At 35.8% G+C, this 24,937-nt stretch overlaps 1 protein-coding gene across 6 annotated transcripts in view, besides 1 other annotated feature; it reads right to left on the reverse strand.

Moving 5' to 3' along the window:
* The window catches only part of SASS6 (SAS-6 centriolar assembly protein), a 49,361-nt gene that overhangs the window by 7,689 nt on the left and 16,735 nt on the right, over positions 1-24,937 (reverse strand). For all 6 annotated transcript variants that reach the window (NM_001304829.2, NM_194292.3, XM_047447889.1 and 3 more), the window contains 7 exons: positions 19,034-19,225; positions 16,552-16,746; positions 16,370-16,459; positions 16,116-16,295; positions 15,654-15,735; positions 14,509-14,645; positions 11,697-11,825 (listed from right to left, as the gene is read on the reverse strand). In NM_001304829.2, the coding sequence (NP_001291758.1) occupies positions 11,697-11,825; positions 14,509-14,645; positions 15,654-15,735; positions 16,116-16,295; positions 16,370-16,459; positions 16,552-16,746; positions 19,034-19,225 (1,005 nt within the window). The remainder of the gene's footprint in view (positions 1-11,696; positions 11,826-14,508; positions 14,646-15,653; positions 15,736-16,115; positions 16,296-16,369; positions 16,460-16,551; positions 16,747-19,033; positions 19,226-24,937) is intronic.
* Positions 22,075-22,264: a silencer, noted in NCBI's record as "fragment chr1:100578889-100579078 (GRCh37/hg19 assembly coordinates)". NCBI's record gives its function as "represses an EF-1alpha promoter that drives an FKBP-Casp9 reporter gene in an ReSE screen in K562 erythroleukemia cells {active_cell/tissue: K562}" and the evidence as "EXISTENCE:reporter gene assay evidence [ECO:0000049][PMID:32094911]".

A 24,937-nucleotide genomic window follows, 5' to 3' on the forward strand; every position in this document is an offset into this window, starting at 1 on the left:
TATCCTCCAGCCTGGGCAACAGAGTGAAACTCTTTTGAAAAAAATTGAACTGACTTAAGAATCACAACCTAAAGAAGGCTAATCAGAACTTGAACCTAACAAGACTGATTGTTTGCTTAAAAAAAAATCACATTCTCCTCAGGATTTAAACAAAATCTGGGATCTCATAATATTCTAATGTCCAGGATACAATCCAAAATCACTCAATAGAGTACTAGGGAAATGTAAGCAACTCATAAGGGAAAAGTTAAACCAGAAGAAGTCAACCCCAAGATGACACAAATACTGGAATTATCAGAAAAACCACTTCAAATCACCCATTATAACCGTGCTCTAATAACACTGTTCAAATGAATGTAAAAAAGTCTCATTAAAAAAAAAAAAAAAAAAGGAAAGAAAACGAAATGGAAATTTTAGAACAGAAAAAAACCGCTGAATGGGCTTGATAGTAGAATGGACAGAGAAAACAGTAAACTTGAAGGCGGATCAATAGAAATAATCAAATCTGAAAAACAGAAAAAATAAGAATGGAAGAAAAGAACAGAAGGTTGTGGACCTTTAGGAAAATAAAGATTTATATTCATGTCTTTTGAGTCCTAAAAGAAAGAAGAGTGTTCTGCAGAAAAAAATATTTGACTACATGGGAGGCTGAGGTGGGAGGAATGCTTGATCCTGGGAGGTCAAGGCTGCCACAAGTTCTGTTCACACCACTGTACTCCAGCCTGAGCTACAAAGCGAGACCCTGTCTCAAAAAAAAAAAAAAAAAAAAAAAAAAAATTGAAGAAATAATGGCTGAATACTTCAAAAATTTGGGAAAAGGTTCACCAAGCTTAGTAAACCCCCAAAAGGATAAAGTCAAATAAGTTCAAAATCCATGCCCAGACACATCATTGTTAAACTGTGAAAAACTAAAAATATATATATATATTAAAAGCAGGCAGAGAAAATGATGCACTAGTTATAGGAGAACGATTCAAATTTACTGCTAATTTCTCATTGGAAATCATGGAATCCTAAAAGAGGCAGAACAACAGTTTTAAAATGCTTAAGGAAAAGGATTATGAATACAGAATTATGTATCAAGAGAAAATATCATTTGGGAAAGGTAAAAGAAAGGCATTCCCAGGGGAAGAAAAAGAATTGACAGAAGACTTCCTCTAAAAGAAATGCTAATGAATGTTCTATCATTCAGGGAAATTATACTGTAGAAGAACTTAGAATACCAGGAATGAAGGAAAAGAACAAGAAGAACAGAAATGGTAAACACTGGGTAATATAACGAACTAGTCTTCTCCACTCCAGAGTTTTTTTGTGTTTTTTTGTTTGTTTGTTTTTGAGATGGAGTCTCGCTCTGTCACCCAGGCTAGAGTGCAGAGGCGCAATCTCGGCTCGCTGCAACCTCCGCCTCCCGAGTTCAAGTGATTCTTCTGCCTTAGCCTCCCGAGTAGCTGACACTACAGGCGCCCACCACCATGCCCAGCTAATTTTTTGTATTTTTAGTAGAGACAGGGTTTCACTGCTTTAGCCAGGATGGTCTCGATCTCCTGACCTTGTGATCCACGTGCCTCGGCCTCCCAAAGTGCTTGGATTACAGGCGTAAGGGACCACACCCAGCCCACTCCAGAGTTTTAAATATGTATAATGGAGGATAGCAAAAATTATAGATTGTCTGATAATGTCTCCAATGTATGCAGATACAATACATACGAAATATGAAAACATAAGGGGGGAAAAGGCAAAGGGACTGTATGGTGGCAAGGTATGTATATTGTACTTTAAGTGGTAAGATATTAATTCTACACACTACGAAAAGTATGTATATTATAATGCCTGGAGCAACCACTAAAATAAAAATAATACAAAGAGATATATTTAAAGAACATTATCCCAACAAAAACAGAATACCTATTGTTTTCTTTTTTTTTTTTTTTTTTTTTTTTGTGAGACCTCTCACTCTATTGCCCAGGACAGAGCAGAGTGGTGCAAACACAGCTCACTGCCACCTCCACATCCTGGGCTCAGGTGATCCTCCCACCTCAGCCTCCCCAACAGCTGGGACCACAGGTGTGTGTGACCACACCTGGCCAAAATATTTTCTAATTTCCCTCAAATCTTCCACATATCTTTCTGTTATAGATTTCTAGTTTAATTCCAGACTGGTTTAGGACTTAGGACGTAGTCTATCTTGGTTAGTGTTCCATGTGTACTTGAAAAGAATAGGGCTGGGCGTGGTGGCTCATGCCTGTAATCCCCACACTTTGGGAGGCCAAGGCAGGCAGATCACTTGAGCCCAGGAGTTTGAGATTGGCCTGGGAAACATGGCAAAACCCTGTCTCTACAAAAAAATACGAAAATTAGGCAGGTGTGGTGGTGTGCACCTGTAGTCCCAGCTACTCAGGAGGCTAAGGTGGGAGAATCACATAAACCCAGGAGGTGAGGCTGCAAGGAGCTGCGATCATGCCACTGTACTCCAGTCTGGGGGACACAGTGTGACCCTGTCTCAAAAACAAGAAAAGAAAAAGAAAAAAAAATATTTTAAACTTAATGAAAATGAAAATACAAATACCAAAATTTGTGAAATGCAGTTAAAGCAAGACTGAACAACATGTATAGCATTAAATGTTTAGATTAACATAGAACTCTTAAATCAGAACATAATCTTCTACCTTAAGAAAGTAAGAAAAGGAGCCAAACAAACTCAAGGCAGTTAGAAGGGAAAAAATATTAAAATGGAGAAATCAGTAAATTGAAAAACCAATGAAACCATAAGCCGGTTCCTTGAAAAGATCCATGAAACTGGTAACTCTTACCAAACTGATTTTTCAAAGAGACAAGGCAAAAATCACCATTATAAGTAATGAAAGAGAGGATGTTACAGCAGAGTCTATAGACATTAAAAATAATGGAATACTAAAAACAACTCTTCGCACATAGCTTAAAATTTAGATTAAATGATTTAATCCTGTGAAAGTCACAAACTATCGAAACTGGCCTAAGAAGAAATAAATAACCCAAACATTCTATAGGTATTGAAAAAAATTAATTCACAGCTGAAAAAAGCCTCCGGCAAAAAAATTTCCAGACCCAGATGATTTCACTGGAAAATTCTACCAAACATTTAAAGAAAATATAAAGCAACTCTATACAATATATGCCAGAAAATAAAAGAGAAAAGACAGTTTCCTGTTCATTTTATGAGGCCAGTATTGTCCTGATTTAAATTTGTTAAAGACAGTACATGAAAAGTAAACTACAGGCCAATATGCTTTATGAACATGGACACAAAATCAAACTATCAGAAAATTAACTCCAAGCTGGGTGTTGGGGCTCACACGCCTGTAATCCCAGCACTTTGGGAGGCCGAGGTGGGCGGATCACCCACCTCTGACCTTGAGCTCAGAAGTTCAAGACTAGCCTAGCCAACAGGGCGAAACCGTGTCTCTATTAAAAATACAAAAATTAGCTGGTGCAGTGACAGGCACCTGTAGTCCCAGCTACTCGGGAGGCTGCGGCAGAAGAATCGCTGGAACCCAGGAGGCAGAGGTTGCAGGGAGCCGAGATCACACTACTGCACTCCAGCCAGGGCAACAGAGAGAGACTCTGTCTCCAAAAAAAAAAAAAAGAAAAAGAAACAAAAAGTAAATTAACTCCAGCGATATATAAAAAGAATACACCATGACCAAGTGAAGTTTATCCCAAGAATGAAAGGCTAATATAATCTTAAACAATCAATACAATCTGTTAACTGATAAAAGATAAGCCACATGACCATATCAATTGAAAAAGCATTTGACAAAATTTAACAACCATTCATGATAAAAGCTCTTAGCAAACTAGGAATAGAATAAAACTCCCTTATTCTGAAAAATGGCCACCTAGCAAAAACCTACAGCTAATATGCTTATGATGAAAGACTGAATGCTCTGCCCTGAAGCTCAGGAACAAGGCCAGAATGTCTGCTCTCACATTTATTTAAACTGCACTATAGGCTGGGTGCAGTGGCCTACACCTGTAATCCCAGCACTTTTTTGGAGGCTGTGGCAGGTGGATCACTTGAGCTCAGGAGCTCAAGACCAGCCTGGGCAACATGGCAAAACCCTGTCTCTACCAAAATTACAAAAAATTAGCTGGGGGTATGGTGGCATGCACTTGTGGTCCCAGTTACTAGGGAGGCTGAGGTAGGATGATCACCTGAGCCTGGGAGACAGAAGTTGCAGTGAGCCAAGAATGTGCCACTGCACTCCAGGCTAGGTGACACTAAGACTCTGTCTCAAAAAATAAATAAATAAAAATAAATTGTACTATCGGTTCTAGCCATTACAATAAGGCAAGAAAAATAAATAAAAAGCAACCACATTGGAAAGGAAGCTGTCATTATTTTCAGATGACATAACTGTCTATGTGGAAAATCCAACAGAATTTACCAAAAACCACTAATGAGTATAATAAATGAGTTTAGCAAGGTTTCAAGATACAAGATCAACATACAAAAATGACATACATTTCTACACATCAATGAATATTCTGAAAAATAAAATAATTATACCCACAATAGCATCTAAAAGAATAAAACACTTAAGAATAAATTCAACAGAAGAAATTCAAGACTTATATATTGAAAACTGCAAAACATTACTGAGAGAAAGTAAAGCTCTAAATAAATGGAAAGACTCTTAATATTCATGGATTGGAAGACACAATACTGCCAAAACAGCATTTCTTTGAAAACTGACCTATAAATTCCTTATATACCTATCAAAATCCAAACAAACCATTTTGTAGAAATTGAGAAGGTGACCATTTTCATGAAACTGTAAAAGATCTAAAACAATTTTGAAAAGGAAGAATAGAGTCTGTAGATTTATACTACTGACTTTCAAAACTTTTAATATAAAGTCATAGTGATTAAGATGCTGTGACACTGGCACAGGATAGGCATAAAAATCAATGAAACAGAATTGAGAATCCTGAAATAAATCCTTACATGGTCAACTGATTTTCAACAAAGGTGCTTAGACAATTCAACAGAGAAAAAGACTTTTCATAAATGGTACTAAGAACTGGATATTCAGAGCAGGGGGGAAAAATGAACTTAGATCCTTACTTCAAGCCATGCACACAAATTATTTCAAAATGGATCACAGATCTAAATGTAACAACTAAAACTATAAAAGTTGTAGAAGAAAACAAAGGAGAAAATGTTTTCAACCTGTGGTTGGACAGAGTTCTTATATACAACTCCAAAAGCAAGATCCACAAAAGAAAAAAGTTTGATAAATTGCACTCCATCAAATATTAAAAACTTTTGTATTTCAAAAGACACATTGAGAAAATGAAAAGGGAAGCCACTGGGAGAAAATATTTGCTAATCATATACTTGATAAAGGACTTGTATCCAGAATATACAAAGAACTTATAATTCAATAAAAAGACAACCTTGTTTAGCAATGGTCAAAAGATTCAAATAGAAATATCACCAAAGTGGTATTTTAATATTGATGTTAAATAAGCACATGAATAGAGATACTCAACCTCATTAGGTTTTAGGGAAATGCAAACTAAAATCACAATGAGGGGCCAGGTGTGGTGGCTGATGCCTGTAATCCCAGCACTTTGAGAGGCCGAGGTAGGGGATCACTTGAAGTCAGGAGTTCAAAACCAGCCTGGCCAACATGGTGAACCCTGTCTCTACTAAAAAATACAAAAATTAGCTGGACGTGGTGGCGTGCACTTGTAACCCCAGCTACTCGGGAGGCTGAGGCATGAGAATTGCTTGAACCCTGAAGGTGGAGGTTGTAGTGAGCTGAGATTGCACCACTGCACTCCAGCCTGGGCAACAGAGCAAGACACTGTCTCAATAAATAAATAAAATCACAATGAGGTACTTCTATGCATGTATTAGAATGGCTATACAACTGACTATACCAACTGTTGGAAGGATGCAGAACAACTTGAACTCTCAGACTGCTGGTGGTAAATTGTAAAAACACTTTGGAAAAGTTTGGTAATTTCTTAAAAATCAAACATATGCCACCAGCCATTCCATTCCTGGGTACTCACCCACAATAAATACAAAGACTTGTACACATATGTTCACAGCAGCTTAATCTGTAACATCCAAAAACTTAAAACAACTCAAATGTCCATCAACTGATGAATGAACAAATTGTGGCATATCAATACAATGAAATACTACTGAGCAATTAAAAGAAAAGAACTACTGACACACATTACAGCCTGGATGAACCTCAAACACAGTATACTGAGTGAAAAGGAAAGATATGGGCCAGGCATGGTGGCTCACGCCTGTAATTCCAGCACTTTGGGAGGCTGAGGCAGGCAGATACCTTGAGCCCAGGAATTCGAAATCACCCTGAGCAACATGGTGAAACTCCATCTCTACAAAAAAATGCAAAAAAAGGTACCTGGGCATGGTGGCACACACCTGTAGTCCCAGCTACTCAGGAGGCTAAGATAGGAGGATCACCTGAGCCCAGGGAGGTCGAGGCTGCAATAAGCCATGATCGTGCCACTGCACTCTATCCTGGATGACAGAATGAGATTTTATCTCAAAAAAAAAGAAGAAAGACACACAAAAAAACTACATGTTGTATGATTCTACTCATATGAAACTTGGAAAAGCAAATTTTATAGTGACAGCTGATCAGTAGTTGCCTAGGGCTAGAAGGAGGAGTAAGGATAAACTGCAAACAGGCACTAGGGTACTTTTAGGGTAATGTAAATGTTCTAATATTGAACTGTGGTATAGCTTCACAACTCTATAAGCTGACTAAAATTATTGAACTAATCTTAAAGTGGAAGGATTTTATGGTATGTAAATTCTACCTTAATAACCTTTAAATTTTTAAAAAGGAAGTATAATGAAGAATAAAAACAAACCAAAAATTACAAAATAACACATTAAAAACAACGGCAAACTAGCGTCCAGAATATGTAAAGAACACTTATAAAACCATTTTATAAATGTTAAACCTCCCAAACAAAAAAAAACGAATAAAAGAAAGAGCCAGGCACAATGGTGCATGCCTGTAGTCTCAGCTACTCAGGAGGCTGAGCCAGGAGGATCAGGTGAGCCCAGAAATTCGAAGCCAGCCTGGGCAACACAGGGAGATTTCCATCTCTAAAACAAACAAATGGAAAACAAAAAATGAATAAACAGGAGTTTTACAGAACAGGAAACATAACCTACAAATATATAAAAAGATGTTTCTCACTTTAATCAAGAAAATGTTAATTAACATTACAATAAGATACTATTTTAGTCACCAGTTATGCAAAAATGCCTTTGACACAGTTACTTCTAACAATGTAACCTATAAATCTATTAGTACCAGGCCACCGAGATGTATGCACAAAAATATTTGCTGGAGCACTGTATGAGCATCTGGATTGAAAAAAACCTACTCATCCATAAATAGAGTATTAGTTAATTATAGTACATCCGTATACTGGAATACTATGAAGTCATTAAAAAGAAACAAAAACTTATATTCTGATACACTGCAGTTACCTATTCCATAATACCATTAAATGAAAAAAGCAAGGCGCAGAACAATTGGCAAGTACTATTTATGTTTATATATAAAAACACTCATATATTTGAACACATATACATATACATGCACATACATATGGTCTAATACATGCTCTGAATATTTCTGGAATATATCATAAGAAATTCCTAACAGTATTTTTCTCTAAGAGGACTGGGGACCACAGTAGGGACTTTTAGATAGTACATCCTCTTGTACCTTTCAAAGCTTCCCATACTTACACATTATTTTTAAAAAGTTAATACCAAATAAATGAAAAATTAATTTAAACCATCTAGGTGAATCAGATGGTTAACCCAACTGAATAATGCTATCTGTACACAAAATCTGTCTCTGAATACACACTGTGGGCCAAACACTACCAAGATAAAGAAATTGAGGCAACAGGGCCTTGGGGCACCTCCAGTCACACACAAATGTTAGAGATCTGTACTGGATGACACTGACAGAAAACAAGCATTTCAGCACCTACAATTACAGTGTCAGGAGGATAAGAGATTCCTTCCGAGAAAATAAAAATGTAAACGTTCCTGTAGAAACTCAAACCCTAGAGAATAAAGCCAAAAGAGACCTTACAGTAATTCAGAGTAATTTGTCAACAGGTCCACATTGGCCAACTGACAAGTTCATTACTGAGAATCAAGAGATGCCTAGGACCCAGGGAGCCCAGGACTAGCCACAAGCCACCACCAGTGGATGCCGGGAACAACCTTCAACATCCACTCTATGCTTGGGATAGGGGCTCCCCAAACCAGCTTAAAATAGTCTCTTACTCTGCCTGCTCTGTGGGAGCTGATAAACTGAGTCACATTTCCATTCTGTTGCAGACTCAATGAAAAAGGACAGCTGTTTCTCCTCGGTTCAAGGGTTAGAATGAAAAGCTGGAGCTCACTCAAAATAATGCTGTGTATTACTGTGTCTCCTCTCCACTCCACTACTATTTTGTAGTTCATGACCATTGTGTACGGCATTTCCAGACTTTGTTTTTTGGTCCTTAACAGTAAACAGAATTGTCTCCCTAAGCCTTTCAACCAGATTAAAAGAAAAAAGATAAATCAATCATCTGGCCCGTTCCTCACTGCAGAAAATCCCTCACATACTTCATAATCTCCTTGATGAAAGTTTGACCTTGAAGATCAAGAATGTAACCCAAGCCAGGCACAGAGGCTCATGCCTGTAATCCCACCACTTGGGAGGCCGAGGCAGGTGGATCACTTGAGGTCAGGAGTTAGAGATCAGCCTGACCAACATGGTGAAACCCCGTCTCTACTAAAAATACAAAAATTAGCCAGGTGTGGTGCTGCACACCTGTAATCTCAGCTACTCGGGAGGCTGAGGCATGAGAATCGCTTGAACCTGGGAGGTGGAGGTTGCAGTGAGCTAAGATCATGCCACTGCACTCTAGCCTTGGTGACAGAGTGAGACTCTGTCACAAAAATAAATGAATAAATGAATGAATGAATAAACAGTTTAGTTTGAAAGACATTACAATTTACTATCTACTGGTGTTTCACCACAAAATGTAAGCACCATAGTGTCAGGGCATTTGTCTTGTTCACTGCTGTCATCTCCTGCAACTAAAACTATGCCTGGCCACAGCAGATAACAGACATTCATTAAATACTTGTTCAATGAATGAATCTTTGGCTATCATTGTATCCAAAAATAAAAGAGAAAAAACACGTAGTTTTGTGTATCTTGCTTTAAAATTATCAAGTATTTGTTCTATTTGTCAGAACAGCACAATCTTGTTAAATATTCTCACATATTCTTTCAGCATTATTTTGTTTCTTGCCAAATTTCTCATGTTATTTTACATTCCCACAGTTAAACATCCTTGAATGTATTCAATCTTGACAGTAACATTTTAAGACATCAGGAAGATCACAGGTTCAACGTCAAAAATAAAAGCGTCATTTTTAAAAACTGTAATTCAAAAGTACATGTTTTAATCAACATAGCTGCTAGCACAAAACTACCTAGATCAATGATCACCAAAGTAGGTGGTATTTGGTGCTTTAAAGTGGGTCTTTGAGTCGGGGAGGACAAAGTAGGCAGTAATTAGGACCATTCACTGAGGTCTGAGAAGAAAATCTTACAACTTTCATTTACATCCATTTTTAGTCTGATTCTTTAATTTCTATTTTTGAATATATTTTATTATTAATAATATAACATTTACAGAGCACTTATCATGAACCAGGTACTATTCTAAGCAAATGCATTAATTCACTTAACTCAATAATCCAGTAAGGTAGAGAAAATTATCACTCCATTTTATAAGTGGGAAAACTGAAGTGTAAGAGTTGAATGTTGTTTGTTTTTCAGTGGCTTGATCAACTTCAGGTTGATAGAGGCAGGTTTTAAATCCTAACATCAGATTCCGCCTTCTTAACCAATAATTATACGGCATATAGTATTTCAGTAGTATATGCATAAATTCACAAATAAATACACATTAATGTATTTGAGATGAGAGCGCAAATTGTTCTGTTTTAGGGTTTTTTTTTTTCCCTGTTAGGGATACATAATTAAAAGAATATGGAGATCACCGATACAGGAAACACTGAAAGTCTTGCTCCTGTATTTAAGAACATAATTATTATAATGATTCCTCTGATTCCACAAGACCTATAAGAATGATAGTATTATTTTATAAGCCATCTTTAGTCCTACCAAGTAGGCAACTGTCTCTAGTAGTACTTGTCCTCATTTTGGACATTATATATATATTCCTGGAAAGTTGTTTAAATAAAAAACAACTGTGAATTCACTTATAATTCTAAAGAAAAAAAATGATCCCAAGATACAACGACACTTGAGTATACTGAAACTGATAATAAAACAATAGACATTCCTTCGAATGCACATATCTAATTCTCCTTAATAAGCAATGCAAGAAGAGCCAGTTATATGCATCTAAGTACTCTTTACATAACAGTATTCCAGGCATAAAAACTCAGGCTTAATTTTCATTTAACTGAGAATTCTCCATAGCTACTGGCAATAATAAGGCTATGGCTAAAAAGAGCACATGCCTAAGCAACACAGCCAACTTATTTTTAGAGTAGCCCAGACCTAATTTGATAGAGTTTGTAATACCAGTTTCAAAGTCCTCAATTTTATCTTTTATACAATATTTTTTCATAAATGTTTATTTGTCTCATTATTTAAGAAAAAATAAACCTGGATCTGAAGTTAGCAATGAAAATAAAAGCAGTGACTGGTCTGGGTGGATTAAACTATTGTGAAAACAAAATTATAATACATAAAAAATACATAAATCTAAGATAATAATAAAAATGAGGAAAAAGAAGTAGGTAGAAGAAAGCCTTAACAAATATATCAAGGGTTGGGGGGATTGCTAGTCATATCTTATCTGAGATAATGCTGTCAGAACTAAATTTTAGAATTTGATTTAAGCCTGCCCTACCAGACCTTTAAATTCTAGCAATGGACTCCAAATCATAGCTCAGACTCCAACAGTATGAAGTCAGAAATCCTAGCCAGGCCTGAGAGCGTAGGAGACACAAGTAGAAGAATGAATAAAAACGGAAAGGCTGGCCGGGCGTGGTGGCTCAGGCCTGCAATCCCAGCACCTTGGGAGGCCAAGGCAGGCGGATCACTTGAGGCCAGGAGTTCGAGACCAGCCTGGCCAACATGGCGAAACCTCACCTCTACTAAAATTGCAAAAAAATTAGCTGGGTGTAGTGGCACATGCCTGTAATCCCAGCTACTCAGGAGGCTGAGGCACGAGAATCACTGAACCCAGGAGGCAGAGGCTGCAGTGAGCTGAGATTACACCACTGCACTCCAGCCTGGACAACCGAGCAAGACTGTCTCAAAAAAAAAAAAAAAAAAAGGAGAGGTTGAGTAGAAATAAGTGAGGTTTAAACAGACTGATGTCAAGATTTTAGAAATTACAGTGACTCAAGAAATATATAGTGCATATATTTCCTGTACACATAGATACTAGATATTCAGTAATGTATTTATCTAATACACTACCTACTACTTAACAACTGACCAAAGAATAAATGAACTTTTAAAAGATGTGAAATGTTTGTATGCTAATAGGTTGCTATATTTTTTCCCAGAACAAGTATTAGTTAATTTGGCTACCTTTGTTCCTGAACCAGGGTGGCTGGTATTTTTGGCAGATATCGAATGAGGGAAGGTATTCTGGAATGCAAATGCAGAGGAGACAGGATAACCAATCCCACAGGTTGGGTAAGTCAGTCTACCATCAACCTAAAAATAAAAACATAAAGATGATTAAAGATGATAAATTAATTCTAAATAGTATTTGTTGATCAGGTGGCATTAGCATCTGTTATAATAACTAATAATTAAGAGAGCACTATCTCAGACGCCAGTCTTGTTTATCATGCCACACAACTCTGCTTTATTATCTACCATGGGGCTAGGATAACTTTGAACTAGAGGGCTTTTCAAGGTAGGTGTGCAAGCTTGGATAAAACAAACTACTGGGCCTGCCTTTGTACTAAGTTAAAGCCAAGCTTCTGAACCAACTTGTTTCACTCTAAGTCTCCTAAAAAAGGGGGGAATGGGGGAGTCTGGAGATCAATAGGCCAATCAGAGATAAAATAAAACTAATTTTCTGTCAGACTGCATAAAAACAAGATCAGTGTTCTTAAATGGACTAATTGAGACAGTAATTGGTTTTGCCACTAATTTTCAATATACTGGCACCACACATTAACCAACGTTATGAAAAAGTTTATTTTTATACTGAGACCAGTTGTAACAGAAATCTTGAGAAGCATTTGTGCACACTAATGGATGCACACAAAAAAACACCTTTCACACAGCTATCATCAGTCATTCAAATTTTAAGCCGGACAAAAAATCTTTTTTAAGTTTGTAATTCAGCCCCAGGCACTTCTTTCTGCACCCTTCTCCAATTTAACAGCAATCTTTCCCCTTCTTTAGACATCCCGTACTCTGACTTACCAGAGTAGATTAGGTTAAAAATTCAATTAGGAATCTGAATTTTAAACCTTCTGCCAATGTCCTGTAGCCAAGGACCACCAGGAACCCATGTATAGATATACGAGCTAGATTTATTGCTCCTTGCAACAAGGGAAACTGCACACCATGAACAAACATGGGTATCTCCAAAAGTGGGTATTAAAAGGGACTTATTTATTGGATTTAGGCACATGTTAGGTGATTTAAGAAAAAGTTTAAGTGGTGCTTTGCTGTGGATTGGAAGCTACTGGGAAATGGGGATAAATGTATGACTGGGTATCTGAATAAATCCTATCTAATAAAGCAAGAGGAATGTATTAAGGTCAAAGCTGTAATTAAAGCAGCAGCAGCCATTCATGTTAGCCAGGATATGAGGATGCTTATGGGCCATATCTGTGATTTAGCAATGTTCATATTTTTGTCTGTATTCAGGCATGATTATGAAACAGTCTTGTTTTTGTATTGACAGAGTCACAGAGTAACCTTGCCTGATGTTAATATTCCATGAAATTGTTGTGTTCAACAGGAGAGCCCCAGGCCTATGTGCGGATGCTAGGTAAGCTCCTAGCAGCACCTAGGCCTAACTATCAGATAGTACCAAACCACCTCTGAATGTAAGAAGCTGCTTTTCCTATTCTGCCTTTTTTCTGTTTGAGATAGAGTCTCACTCTGTTGCCCAGGCTGGAGTACAGTGGTGCGATCTTGGCTCATGGCAACCTCCACCTCCTGGGTTCAAGCAGTTCCCCTGCCTCAGTCTCCCGAGTAGCTGGGATTATAGGCATGCACCATTGCACCCAACTGAATTATGTATTTTTAGTAGAGACAGGGTTTCACCACGTTGCCCAGGCTGACCTCTTGAACTCCTGACCTCAGGTGATCCACCCACCTCAGCCTCCCACCCAAAGTGCTGGGATTACAGGCATGAGCCATCGTGCCCAGCCTCCCTTTTTTCTCAGGTTAAAAAAAAAAAAAAAAAAGCAGGGCTGGGCACAGTGGCTCACAGCTATAATCCCGGCACTTTGAGAGGCCGAGGTGGGAGGATTGCCTGAGCCCAGGAGGTCAAGGCTGCCATGAGCCATGATCCCACCACTGCACTCCAGCCTCGGCAACAGAGTGAGGTCTTGTCTCAAAAGAGAAAAAAATCTGGTCCTGGGAGCTAGAAAGTTTATATCTCATAACCAGTTTCTTGTAGAATCTAAAGGTGACAAGCCTGCTAATAGGACTTTTTTCTTTTTTACTTTCTTTTCTTTTTCTGATAGAATTCAGTTTAGGCTTAAGCCTAAACCCTGAATTCTCTCTTCTTCAAGTCTCCTAAATGTTTTACGTTATGTGTTTTCAAGTTTTTCAGTATATTTGGTATTACTTTAGTTAGCATTGAAAGATTTCAATATCCAGTCAAGACTTATAAAGAAGTGTGCTCTTGGCTGGGTGCGGTGGCTCACGCCTGTAATCCCAACACTTTGGGAGGCCGAGGCAGGCAGATCATGAGGTCAGGAGATCAAGACCATCCTGGCTAACAGGGTGAAATCTGTTTCTACTAAAAATACAAAAAATTAGCTGGGCGTGGTGGTGGGCGCCTATAGTCCCAGCTACTTGGGAAGCTGAGGCAGGAGAATGGTGTGAACCCGGGAGGCGGAGCTTGCAGTGAGCCGAGATCGCGCCACTGCACTCCAGCCTGAGCGACAGAGCGAGACTCCATCTCAAAAAAAAAACAAAACAAAACAAAAAAAAGAAATGTGCTCTTGAAACTCAGCCTCTGTTCAGAGCAAGTGTGCCTTTGTTCCACTTCCAGGGGCAACTTAAACTCTATTTCAGTGCAATTGTAGGACTCCACTTTGTATTGGTATCAGCACCTTAAATCATGGAAACTTCCTAACAATCTGGAAATACTTTTGTTTCAGGAAATTCACTAAGATCACTCACATCTTGTTTTAAATCTTACCACATTCAGGTTAGGAGAAATTCCACTTCTGATTGTGTTGCTGCTGGAATGTGCAGGCGGAGTAGTAGAAGGTCCCAATACATCTTGCTTTCTCACTAGCTGATTTTCATTTAGTTCTTTATTTAACCACGTGATTACTTAAATAAAAGAACAAGAAGCAAGGTAAAGAATATTGACTGTTTATTTTTCTAATCATCTTAAACATTTAAAAATTATATTAAGATTTTTAAATTATAAGTTTTTACAACTACCTGACATCACAGGAGAGCAATATAGGTTCACCTAAATTTTTGTCATTAAAGTTTCTTATTTTAGAAGCTGCCACATAGGACTCCTTATTGTATTACTTTCCGAAGCACATATTTCTGCTAGTCAAGCAACTCTTTGAAAGATTTCACTTCTAGAATATCTTACAGTTTACTTAAAATTCACAATCTTATGTATGATACCCAGTAGTATAAACTGAGAAAATGTTAGTTAAAATCTTATTTTTATGTTTTGTTTTCAAACAATTCATATTGTTATTATTAGGTAAACACAGCTATTAAAAAAAGGAATAATGAAGAATTTAAACAATAAATTACAGTCAACATTTTCAACAGTTTTAATTGTGGGTTACTGACCTATGGGATATGGTTTTCTTTATAAAGATGATAACTCTTTTACTGGGCAGATGATATAAATTTATTATAGAAAAGGCATTAAGACAGTATATTTAAAGCAGAAATTACTTATATATTGGCCAATGTCTACTTTTATGAATTCGAATAAAATTTTCAGGTTAAGAATAAAACTACAGCCGAGCACGATGGCTAACACCTGTAAACCTAAACGCAGCAATCTGGGAGGCCAAGGCGGGTGGATCACTTGAGCTCAGGAGTTCAAGACCAGCCTGGGCAACATGATAAAATCTCGTCTCTACAAAAAAAACCCACAAAATTAGCTGAGTGTGGTGGTGCACACCTTAGTCCCAGCTACTTGGGGGGCTGAGGCGGGAGGATAACTTGAACCAAAGTGGTGGAGGCTGCAGTGAGCTGAGATCATGCCACTGCACTCCAGCCTCGGTGACAGAGTGAGACCGTGTCTCAAAAAAATAAAAGAATAAAACTACAAACCTCATTTACATTAACACGTAACATACTTACACTTTTCATTATTTTTTAGAAGTTGTTTGCTTTCTTCAAGTTTTTTAACTGTAGCTTCTAATTGTTCTTGTAATTTGCATACCTGAAATATATCAATCATCACAATAAGTCAAGCAAAATAAAGGTTAAATAAAAACTGAAGAATGTATTATTATTAACTAAATAATTACATAAATGGTTACTACTACTATTATTAAATGAGAATAAAGGAATTAGCTCAATTATGTAATAAAATATTTACATGTGTATACAAACATAGACATACATGAGCAATCAAGGTATCTGAATCATGATAACTAACTTTCCAAACTGAAACAGGTTATTACCATCTACTCAATCTAGTCATGTTCTTTTGTTAAAAAAAAAAACAAGACCAAAGCCATTTGTTAATGTAACAAAGCATAAATTTTTAAAACGAGGAAAAAATTTAGTTACAACATAAAAATTTAAAATATTAACTACCTCTTGCTCTTTAATTCGAAGAGACTGTCCAACATCTTGTAATTCCTTTTGTTCCTTTTGTAATTTTTCCTCCTTCTCAGCCAAGAGTTTTTCTTGCTGAATAGTAACTGTATTCTTCAATTTCAACTTACCCATTAAAGTTTTCAGATCCCCTTGTAACTTCTTGATAATTTCATTTGCCTATAAAAGAGCTTCATATGTATATTTCTATGTAATTTAATGAAATACTAGTCTATAAAATTTTTAAAACAAACCTTCAGAAGTTCTGCAGATAATGATTTTATTGTAGCTTCAAGCTTTCCTAGTTGTACTTGATTTTTCTCACCATTTTCTTCTAAAACCACCTGATATATTTTTTAAAAACATGAATAATTAGGGCATTTGTGTTTACTTATAAATATGATTATCAATTTCTGAGAAAAATTTAAAAGTAGACCTTTTGTTCCTGGATTGTATCAAATGCCTCTTTTGTTCTTAAAACAAGCTGGTCCTTATCCTTGATTTCCTGTTCTAAAACTGCCACTTTTGTTTGTAGCTGATTAACGTGCTTTTCTTTCTCGTGGCATTCAACATCTAGTGTAGAATTCTCTCTTCGCAAAGAGAGGACTTCTTGCTTAGTCCGCTGTAGCTCCTAGAATGGGAAAAGAAAGAAATTAAGCATTATGAAAAAAGGAAGCTGCCTCATCTGGTTATTTATAATTAAGATGTCTAACATATTAAAAAAAAGTCTTTAATAATTTTAAAGTTTTAGTACAGATTTTTTTTTAAAAGCATAAATGTCTTTCTAATGGTATAGTAGCATATATCTGGAATATAATTGTAAAATATTCTACTATCTGATTCAATCATATCAAGGGAAAATAATTCTAATTTATGAATAAATTACAGTAACTTTAAAACTTTTAACAATAATTTTCTGATGTCTCCACAACTGATTCCAAGGGTAACCACGGGTGAGAGCCGCCACAATGTAGACTTAACATTTTTCTTTGTTGCTTACATGTACAGATTGTTTTTTAAAGGTTGATACTCTGCAGTTTATAATCTACCTTCTTCACGTATTACAAATATCTTTCTATGTCAATAAATGTTAACATTTCCAGATCTCTCTGTTCACTCTTTCAAGCAAAATAAACAATAATTGTTCATTAAAAATAGATTTTTAAAAAATCTACAATAGATCTCTTCCCAATCAGCTAATATCAACCCAAATGCTGCTGGTATATGAAAGCCCAGGATACAATATTCCTAGATAGTTTTAGTTCTTAACCAAAGTTTCCAAAAATAATTATACAGTATTGTGACTATAGTGGTTTTAGGAGCACAAACTTTAGTATCAAACAAAATTCAAATCCTGGCTCTTCTACTGTGTGATCTTGGTAATTACTGAAACTCCCTAAATTAAATCTCAGTTCCCTCATTTGTAAAACAGAAATAACAAATACTTAATAAATTATTTCATTTAACCTTCATAAAAATCCTTACGTAAATTGCCTAGCATTTTGGCTGGCACACAGTAAAACTCAATAAATGGTAGCAATTGTTATTTTTAGGACACTAATGCCTAAAAATTGTTACTTAAAATAGGTAACTGAATACTCAGCAGTTAAAAAAAAAAGCTCCAAGAACTAACAATTTGCAAGTCTTATGAAAATCTTGGAGGAAATATTTTCATTAGATCATATAAAAATCAATGCAATGAGGTTGTTTATATAATGACCAGTTCCAGGGCTGAGAATAATGAAATCAGAGCATTATACTGAAGCATTTAGACTACCAATGTACCATGAAGGTTCAAATGCTTTACAACCAGTATGAAGAGTGTATGCAGGAAAAACAGAAGACATCTATTATTGGGGCAAAACAATATGAGGATCTGAACACAAAATTGGTCAGGCTTTAGAGCTTCTAAGCATGAGACTGGTAAAATAGAGTTTGAAGTCTTGTGAGCTAGAATAACACTGGTAACTTTGGTATTTAAATATAGACAAAATCTACATATATTTTCTAATAATTCATATGACAATAATATATAATGCTACAAAGAAGCCTGTAATCAATGCCAAAGCAACAACAAATGTGGCACTATAGCAAGATTTTAAAAATTTCTGTGGGGCTTAATACCCAGGTGATGAGTTGATAGGTGCAGCAAACCACCATGGCACATGTTTACCTATGCAACAAACCTGCACATTCTGTACATGTATCCTGGAACTTAAATAAAATAAATAAAATAAAAAATAAAAATTTCTCTGTTGCCTGAAAGAACAAGGTAGTATTAAAGATAGTCAAATAATAGATGAGTTCTAATCCTTGTTCTTCCACTCCTTGACTATGTGACCTTAGGCAACTTATTTAACCTTTCTGTGCCTTAGTTTCATCATCTGTAAAATAGGGCTAATAATAGTTCCTACCTTAAATAACTGTTGTAACAATAAAATGAGTTAATATATGTAAAGCACTTCAAACAGTACCTATCACATAGAAAATGCTCAGTAAGCATTAACTATTATCTTTACTATTACCATTATCATTATTATTACTAGATACTAAATTCACATAATTGTTTGATATATGTTAAGCAGGTTGAGGAAAAAAAACCCCAGCCCTGTCAACACAGTACCCTATGAAATACAGGTGCTGTGTTACTATTAAAAACATATTGATAAATCTGACAGCTGTGCCAGTAATCTGCTCTCAAGACCCTAACTAAAAATATTCAAGCTTACCTCAGTTCTGTTATGAATTATGCTTTTTATCAAATTTCAAATTCTCAATTTTCTTTGCATTGTCTGAATGGATACCCTAACACCACAAGAGCATCCAGAGGAACACCACCCACACAAGTAACCACATTAAAATAACCAAATCAAAACGTTCTCTTAAATTGGGGGAGGAAAAAAAACAACATTCAATACCTCTTCAACACCAGAAAGTTTTGCTTTAAGTTCTCTAATAGTGGAGTCTCCTTTATATTTTCTTTCGGTTAAGTCTTTATTAGCCGCTTCTAACTCAGACAGTCTGTTTTGTAGCTGGTGGATGTTTTGTTGATGGAGGATTTCTAAATCTTTTTTCTGTTGTTCATGCTGCTGTTGATATTGAACCTGTGCCTATGATACAATAAAAATACAGTACCAAAATTCAAAGAAAAAAATCAGAAATACAAATACAGAAAGATTTGAACAAAAAAAAATTGTAATTTCTTATTTTTTCTTTTTCTTTTTTGTCTTAATTTTGTCATCTTTCTTTAGATCCCCATTCTGAAAAGGGTCTATTTTCAATTATGAATTTCATGACGGAGAAAGCAAGGTCAACAAAAGCAAATTTACCACCATGATCTTGTTCATAATTTTTGCTTCTTCTAAATCCATATATGTTTAGGTGCAACAGTCTTCAAGTTAAGGGAAGATGCTATATAAGTTAAAAAAGCAAACTGCAAATACTGTATACAGGATGAACCTACTTGTGTATTAAAAAAAAAGCAGATTTTTGCTTTAAACACCATCACAGTGTTTCAGTTTTTAATAATAAATACTCGTATATATGCTTTATAATGGAAAAACACCTAAAATTGTAAAACGAGCAAGGTTGGTTCATTAGTCCAATCTTATAGTCATTTTTACCAACAATAAAATTTGAACATGGTTATAACTGTGCAATATTTAGTGCCTGTCTGAATCGTATCACAAACCTATCTTAGTAACTTTTGTTAACGAACACTATGAAATCCTAAATATCTTTTGAAAATAAAGCATATTTTTGTGGTTATCAAAGTTATACATGCTCTTACAGGCAAAAAGGAAACACAAATAACCCATAATCCCATCCAGAAAAATCACTCCTAATATTTAGGAGTACTCTCTTCCACTCGTTTATATACTTATATTGACATCCACATAAACACACAATATACATATTAAATTTAATGAATGAATATCAAACTATTTATACAATTTAATCACACTTTTTAATCCCTTAGCATTTGCACCTTCTCACATCATTAAAAAATTCTTTGTAAAGTCTTTAATAGCTACACAACATTCCATCCATGGTTACTCCATAATTCATTTAACTTCTGCCCTATTACGGACATTTAGTTCCCAATTTTTCACAATTATAAATAAAATGATGATTTTTTTTGCACAGACATACATCTAAAATTCAGATTATTTCTTTATGATCAATTATAGAATAAAGAATATAAACAAATATAAAGCTTGATGCAAGTTCCAAAACTGTATCCCAGAGAAGTTATACCCATTCAAAAGTCTTAGCACTAGTACAGGGGAGTGTCTCTCTCATAAAATACCTTAGGAATTTTACATTACTACTTCAGGAATTTCCTCATTTTCAGAAAGCTGAAAAGGAGAGGAGAAGGAGCAAAAAGAGATAAAACAGGAAGCAGTCCATATAAAATTGAAAATGCCATCTTGGAAGAAAACATTGAAGAAGCAACCAAGAAGAAAAATCAGAGCAAACTGGTAAAGATGCTAACTGTAACTGTCTAAGAGAGTAATCAAAGACACTAAAGACAATAGAGGCCAAAAGCAGTGAAAATAAAGAACTGGTTTTTATTCCAGTGCTCATCAGAACCTTGGAGATTTTTGTTTAAAAAAAAAGTGTGAGAACTAGCATTATAAAGTTCACATTTTCTACTTTGTTCCCTTCTGAATCATTTCATTATTTTTAGAAAAAAATACATTAAAAATTTTCCATTCTGGAGGAAAAAAAATAATCATTGGAAGGACAGTTTCAAAATAATAGAGTCTAACAGAAAAGGGAGAATTTGTAGAGGTGGAAGCAATATTTTTCAAATGAATATTCTATAGAGGCTTAAATCAGAAAAGCACACAGTAGTTTTGGAAGAATATTAGATGAGAAAAATGTTTTGGGAATGGAATAATAATGATATGAATGGGAAAACAAAAATTAATAAAAAATTCTATGAAGAAGTGATGAAATATAGAAGTCAGAATTAAGAAAATAATACAATAAATAGAAGGAAGATGGGTGATTCTACGTGTTGCTAGGACTTTCCTCACAGAAAAAAAGCTTCTACAAAGAAATTAGTGTAGAAACAATTCAGATTACTCAGTATATTTTTTTAAATGGAGGTATAAAGAAAACATGAGAAATAAGTGTAAACATAAAGAGAAATAAAAAATGCAAGAATCAAATTTGCCCTATTAAAATGCCTTAAAGATAACACAGGTTTAATGTCCACTTGAATAGATAAGTGACAAATATAGATAATACAGCCATTATTCCCTATAACATTTGTAGAAACCATCAGTAATAATAGAAGGCAGTTTACCTGCCTCAGCAGATTTCTATATAGTCACAAAATTGGCCTAATTTGAGAAAGAGCACACTATGGCAGTGGTTATCAAAGTACGGTCCTCTGAACAGAATAATCGGTATCAGCTAAGAACCTATCAGGAAATCAAGTTCCTGGACTCCACCCCCGACTAACTGTATCAAAGACTCTGGGGATGAAGCCCAGCAATCTGCATTCTAATGCACCCTTCAAATGATTCTCACGCACACTAAAGTTTTACATTATCTATTAGCAGGAAGAGAAGTGTTGACCTGGTTTTAAAGTCCCGAAGGGCTGCCTAACAATCCTATCAGAAAGTGCAATACAGAAATACAAACAAATCCTTCAGTCACTCTGGAGTTTTAAACAAATGCCCTTATGAAGAAACTTTCAGATCTAACTTGTTTCCATGGACAATAGACAAGGAGTACTCCAAAATGAGGGAGGAATAGAGTGAGGTAGAGATTGAAAAACTACTTATTGAGTACTATGTTTACTATTTGGGTGATTAGTTCAACAGAAGCCCAAACTTCAGTATTAAGCAATATATCCAGTAACAAACTTGCACATGTACCCCTGAATCGAACAACAACGTCAAGAAGAACACAACTTGCTTGAAAATCAAGCCAAAAAAAAGGCCGGGCCCGGTGGCTCACGCCTGTAATCCCAGCACTTTGGGAGGCTGAGGCGGGCGGATCACGAGGTCAGGAGATCGAGACCATCCTGGCTAACACGGTGAAACCCTGTCTCTACTAAAAAGACAAAAAAAAGTACAAAAAAATCAGCCAGGCGTGGTGGCAGGTGCCTGTAGTCCCAGCTACTCAGGAGGCTGAGGCAGGAGAATGGCGTGAACCCGGGAGGCAGAGCTTTCAGTGAGTTGAGATCATGCCACTGCACTCCAGCCTGGGTGACAAGAGTGAGACTCGGTCTCAAAAAAAAAAAGAAAATCAAGCCAAAAAAAAAAGAAAAGGTAGTAAATAGAAATTAACGAAATAGGGGGAGAAACAGTGTAGAACTAATTAATGAAATGAAAAACTAGTTCTTCGAAAACACTAAACAATAGAAAAACCACCTAGTCGCGTTAAACAAAACAAATTAAGAACATAAGAGAAATAATATGGAGATTTTAAAAATCACAAGACAATATGCACGATATTGTACTAATATATTTAAACACACAGATAACAGCCACATACAATGGCACACACCAGTAGTCCCTGCTACTCTAGAGGAGCTGAGGCAGGAGGATTGCCTAAACCTAGGAGTCTGAGTCCAGCCTGGGCAACATAGCAACACCTCATCTTCAAAAATAAAAAAAAATAATAAATTTTAAAAATAAAAACACATAGATGAAACACATGGCTTTTTAAGAAAATATAAATTAGCAAAACTCAAGAAGAGAAAATTTAAACAGACCAATAATCATGGAGAAAACTGGAAAAGAAAAAGATAAATGCTTCAACTAGGTGAGTGATCCAAATGGTGTTAAAAGGCTAATTGTATCAGGCCCTCAAGGTACAGATTAATTCCCTGTTATTTCACTGTTTCAAAGAATAAAGAAAACTGAAAAATGTCCTTATTCATCTCATGAGGCTAGCATAATTCTAATACCATAGTCTATAACCCACATTTGCAATAAGCGAACTATGATGTGCAGGAAAAAGACAATCTCAGACCAATGTCACTTATGAATATAAATACAAACATCCTGGGCCAGGCATGGTGGTTCATGCCTGTAATCCCAGCACTTCAGGAGGCCAAGGCAGATGGATCATTTGAGGCCAGAAGATTGAGTCCAGCCTGACCAACATAGTGAGACTCCATCTCTAAAAAAAAAATAAATAAATAAAAATAAAATAAAAATAAAAATAAAAAAAATTATCTAGGCCTGGTGGTCTGTATCTGTGGTCCCAGCTACTCCAAAGACTGAGGTGGGAGGGTCACTTGAGCCCGGAAGGCTGAGGATGCAGTGAGCCGGGACCACACCACTGCACTCCAGCCTGGGCAACAGAGCAAGACTCTGTCTCTAAAATTAAATAAATAAAAATACAAAAATCCCAAGTTAAATAATAGCAAATTGATACAATAGTTTATTAAAAATCGCTATGACTATTTAAGTATTATTCTATGAATGCAAAGATGATTCCACCTTTGGAAATCTATTGTTATAATTTACTACACTATTAAAGGGGAAAAATGACGTAATTATTTGGTTAGATCCCAAAACTCATTTTATCTGACTTAGCACTCTTTGAATTAAAATTCTCAGGTAGCAAGGAAGAGAAGAAAACCCTTTCTCTCAAATGCAAAGCAAATATCATATTTAACAGTGAGATATTTTAGTTATTTACCAAAAAAGACTGGAAAAAGATAAAAATTCCACTATTATTTTTCTGTGCAAGAAAAAAAAGGACACTAATCATAGGAAGAGAAAAAATTACTAATTTTTATAGTTTACATATCTACCTGGAAAACCTAAGAGAATCAATTCCAAAACTCTTAGAAACAGTATGTAAATTTAGTAAGGTGGCTGGATATGACATTAACATACACTACTGATAAACAATTATAAATTTAACCACAGTGGTACTGGTAGGGAGTGGATGGTCTCATTTATGCAGTAAAAATCTGTAAAGTCCCTAGCCAAAAACACTGTTTAACAAGACTGCAAAAGAAAAAGAGAACAGAGAAAAAGGGAGAGAGAGAGAGAGTAAATAAGTCTGTTTTCAACAAATAAGACCTTAATAAATGAAGAGATACATCTCTCCACTGAACGAGAAAATGAGATCAGTTCTTAACAACAGTCCAAAGACAAGCCCAAGTACATAAAGAAATTTAGTATGTGATAAAGGTAGTACCAGGCACAGTGGCTCATGTTGGTAATCTCAGCACTTTGGAAAGCCAAGGAAGGAGGATCACTTGAGGCCAGGAGTTCAAGACCAGCGTGGGCAACATAGTGAAACCCCATCTCCACAAAAAAATTTTAAAATCAGCCGGTGTGGTGACACATGCCTGCAGTCCCAGCTACTTTGGAAGCAGAGGCAGAAGGATCGCTGGAGGTTGAGGCTGTAGTGAGCCATGATCGTGTCACTGCACTCCAGCCTGGGCAACAGAGCAAGACCCTACCTCTAAAAAATAAAAATGAAATAAAATAATAGAGGTAGTATTTTAAATCATTGGGGAACAATGACTGACTATATGTCAAAAAAATTCTACCTTATATTATACTCCACAAAATTATATTCCAAGTAGATTAAAAAGCTAAATATAACAAGAAAATTAAACAAATATTAGAATATAGGAGAATTTTTTCATAGTCCTCGGGTGGGAAACACTTTCCAAATGTGAAATGAAATCTTAAGCCATAAAGGCAATGACTGACAGATTTGATGACATTCAAATTAAAAAAACTATATACGGCAAAAGATGCTGGCAAATGACAGGCTGGGAGAAATGTTTATAATGTACATGATAGATAAGGTGTATATCCTTAATTTATACCAAT

This window comes from Homo sapiens, chromosome 1, assembly GCF_000001405.40.
Source record: "Homo sapiens chromosome 1, GRCh38.p14 Primary Assembly".
NCBI classification, from domain to species: Eukaryota; Metazoa; Chordata; class Mammalia; order Primates; family Hominidae; genus Homo; species Homo sapiens.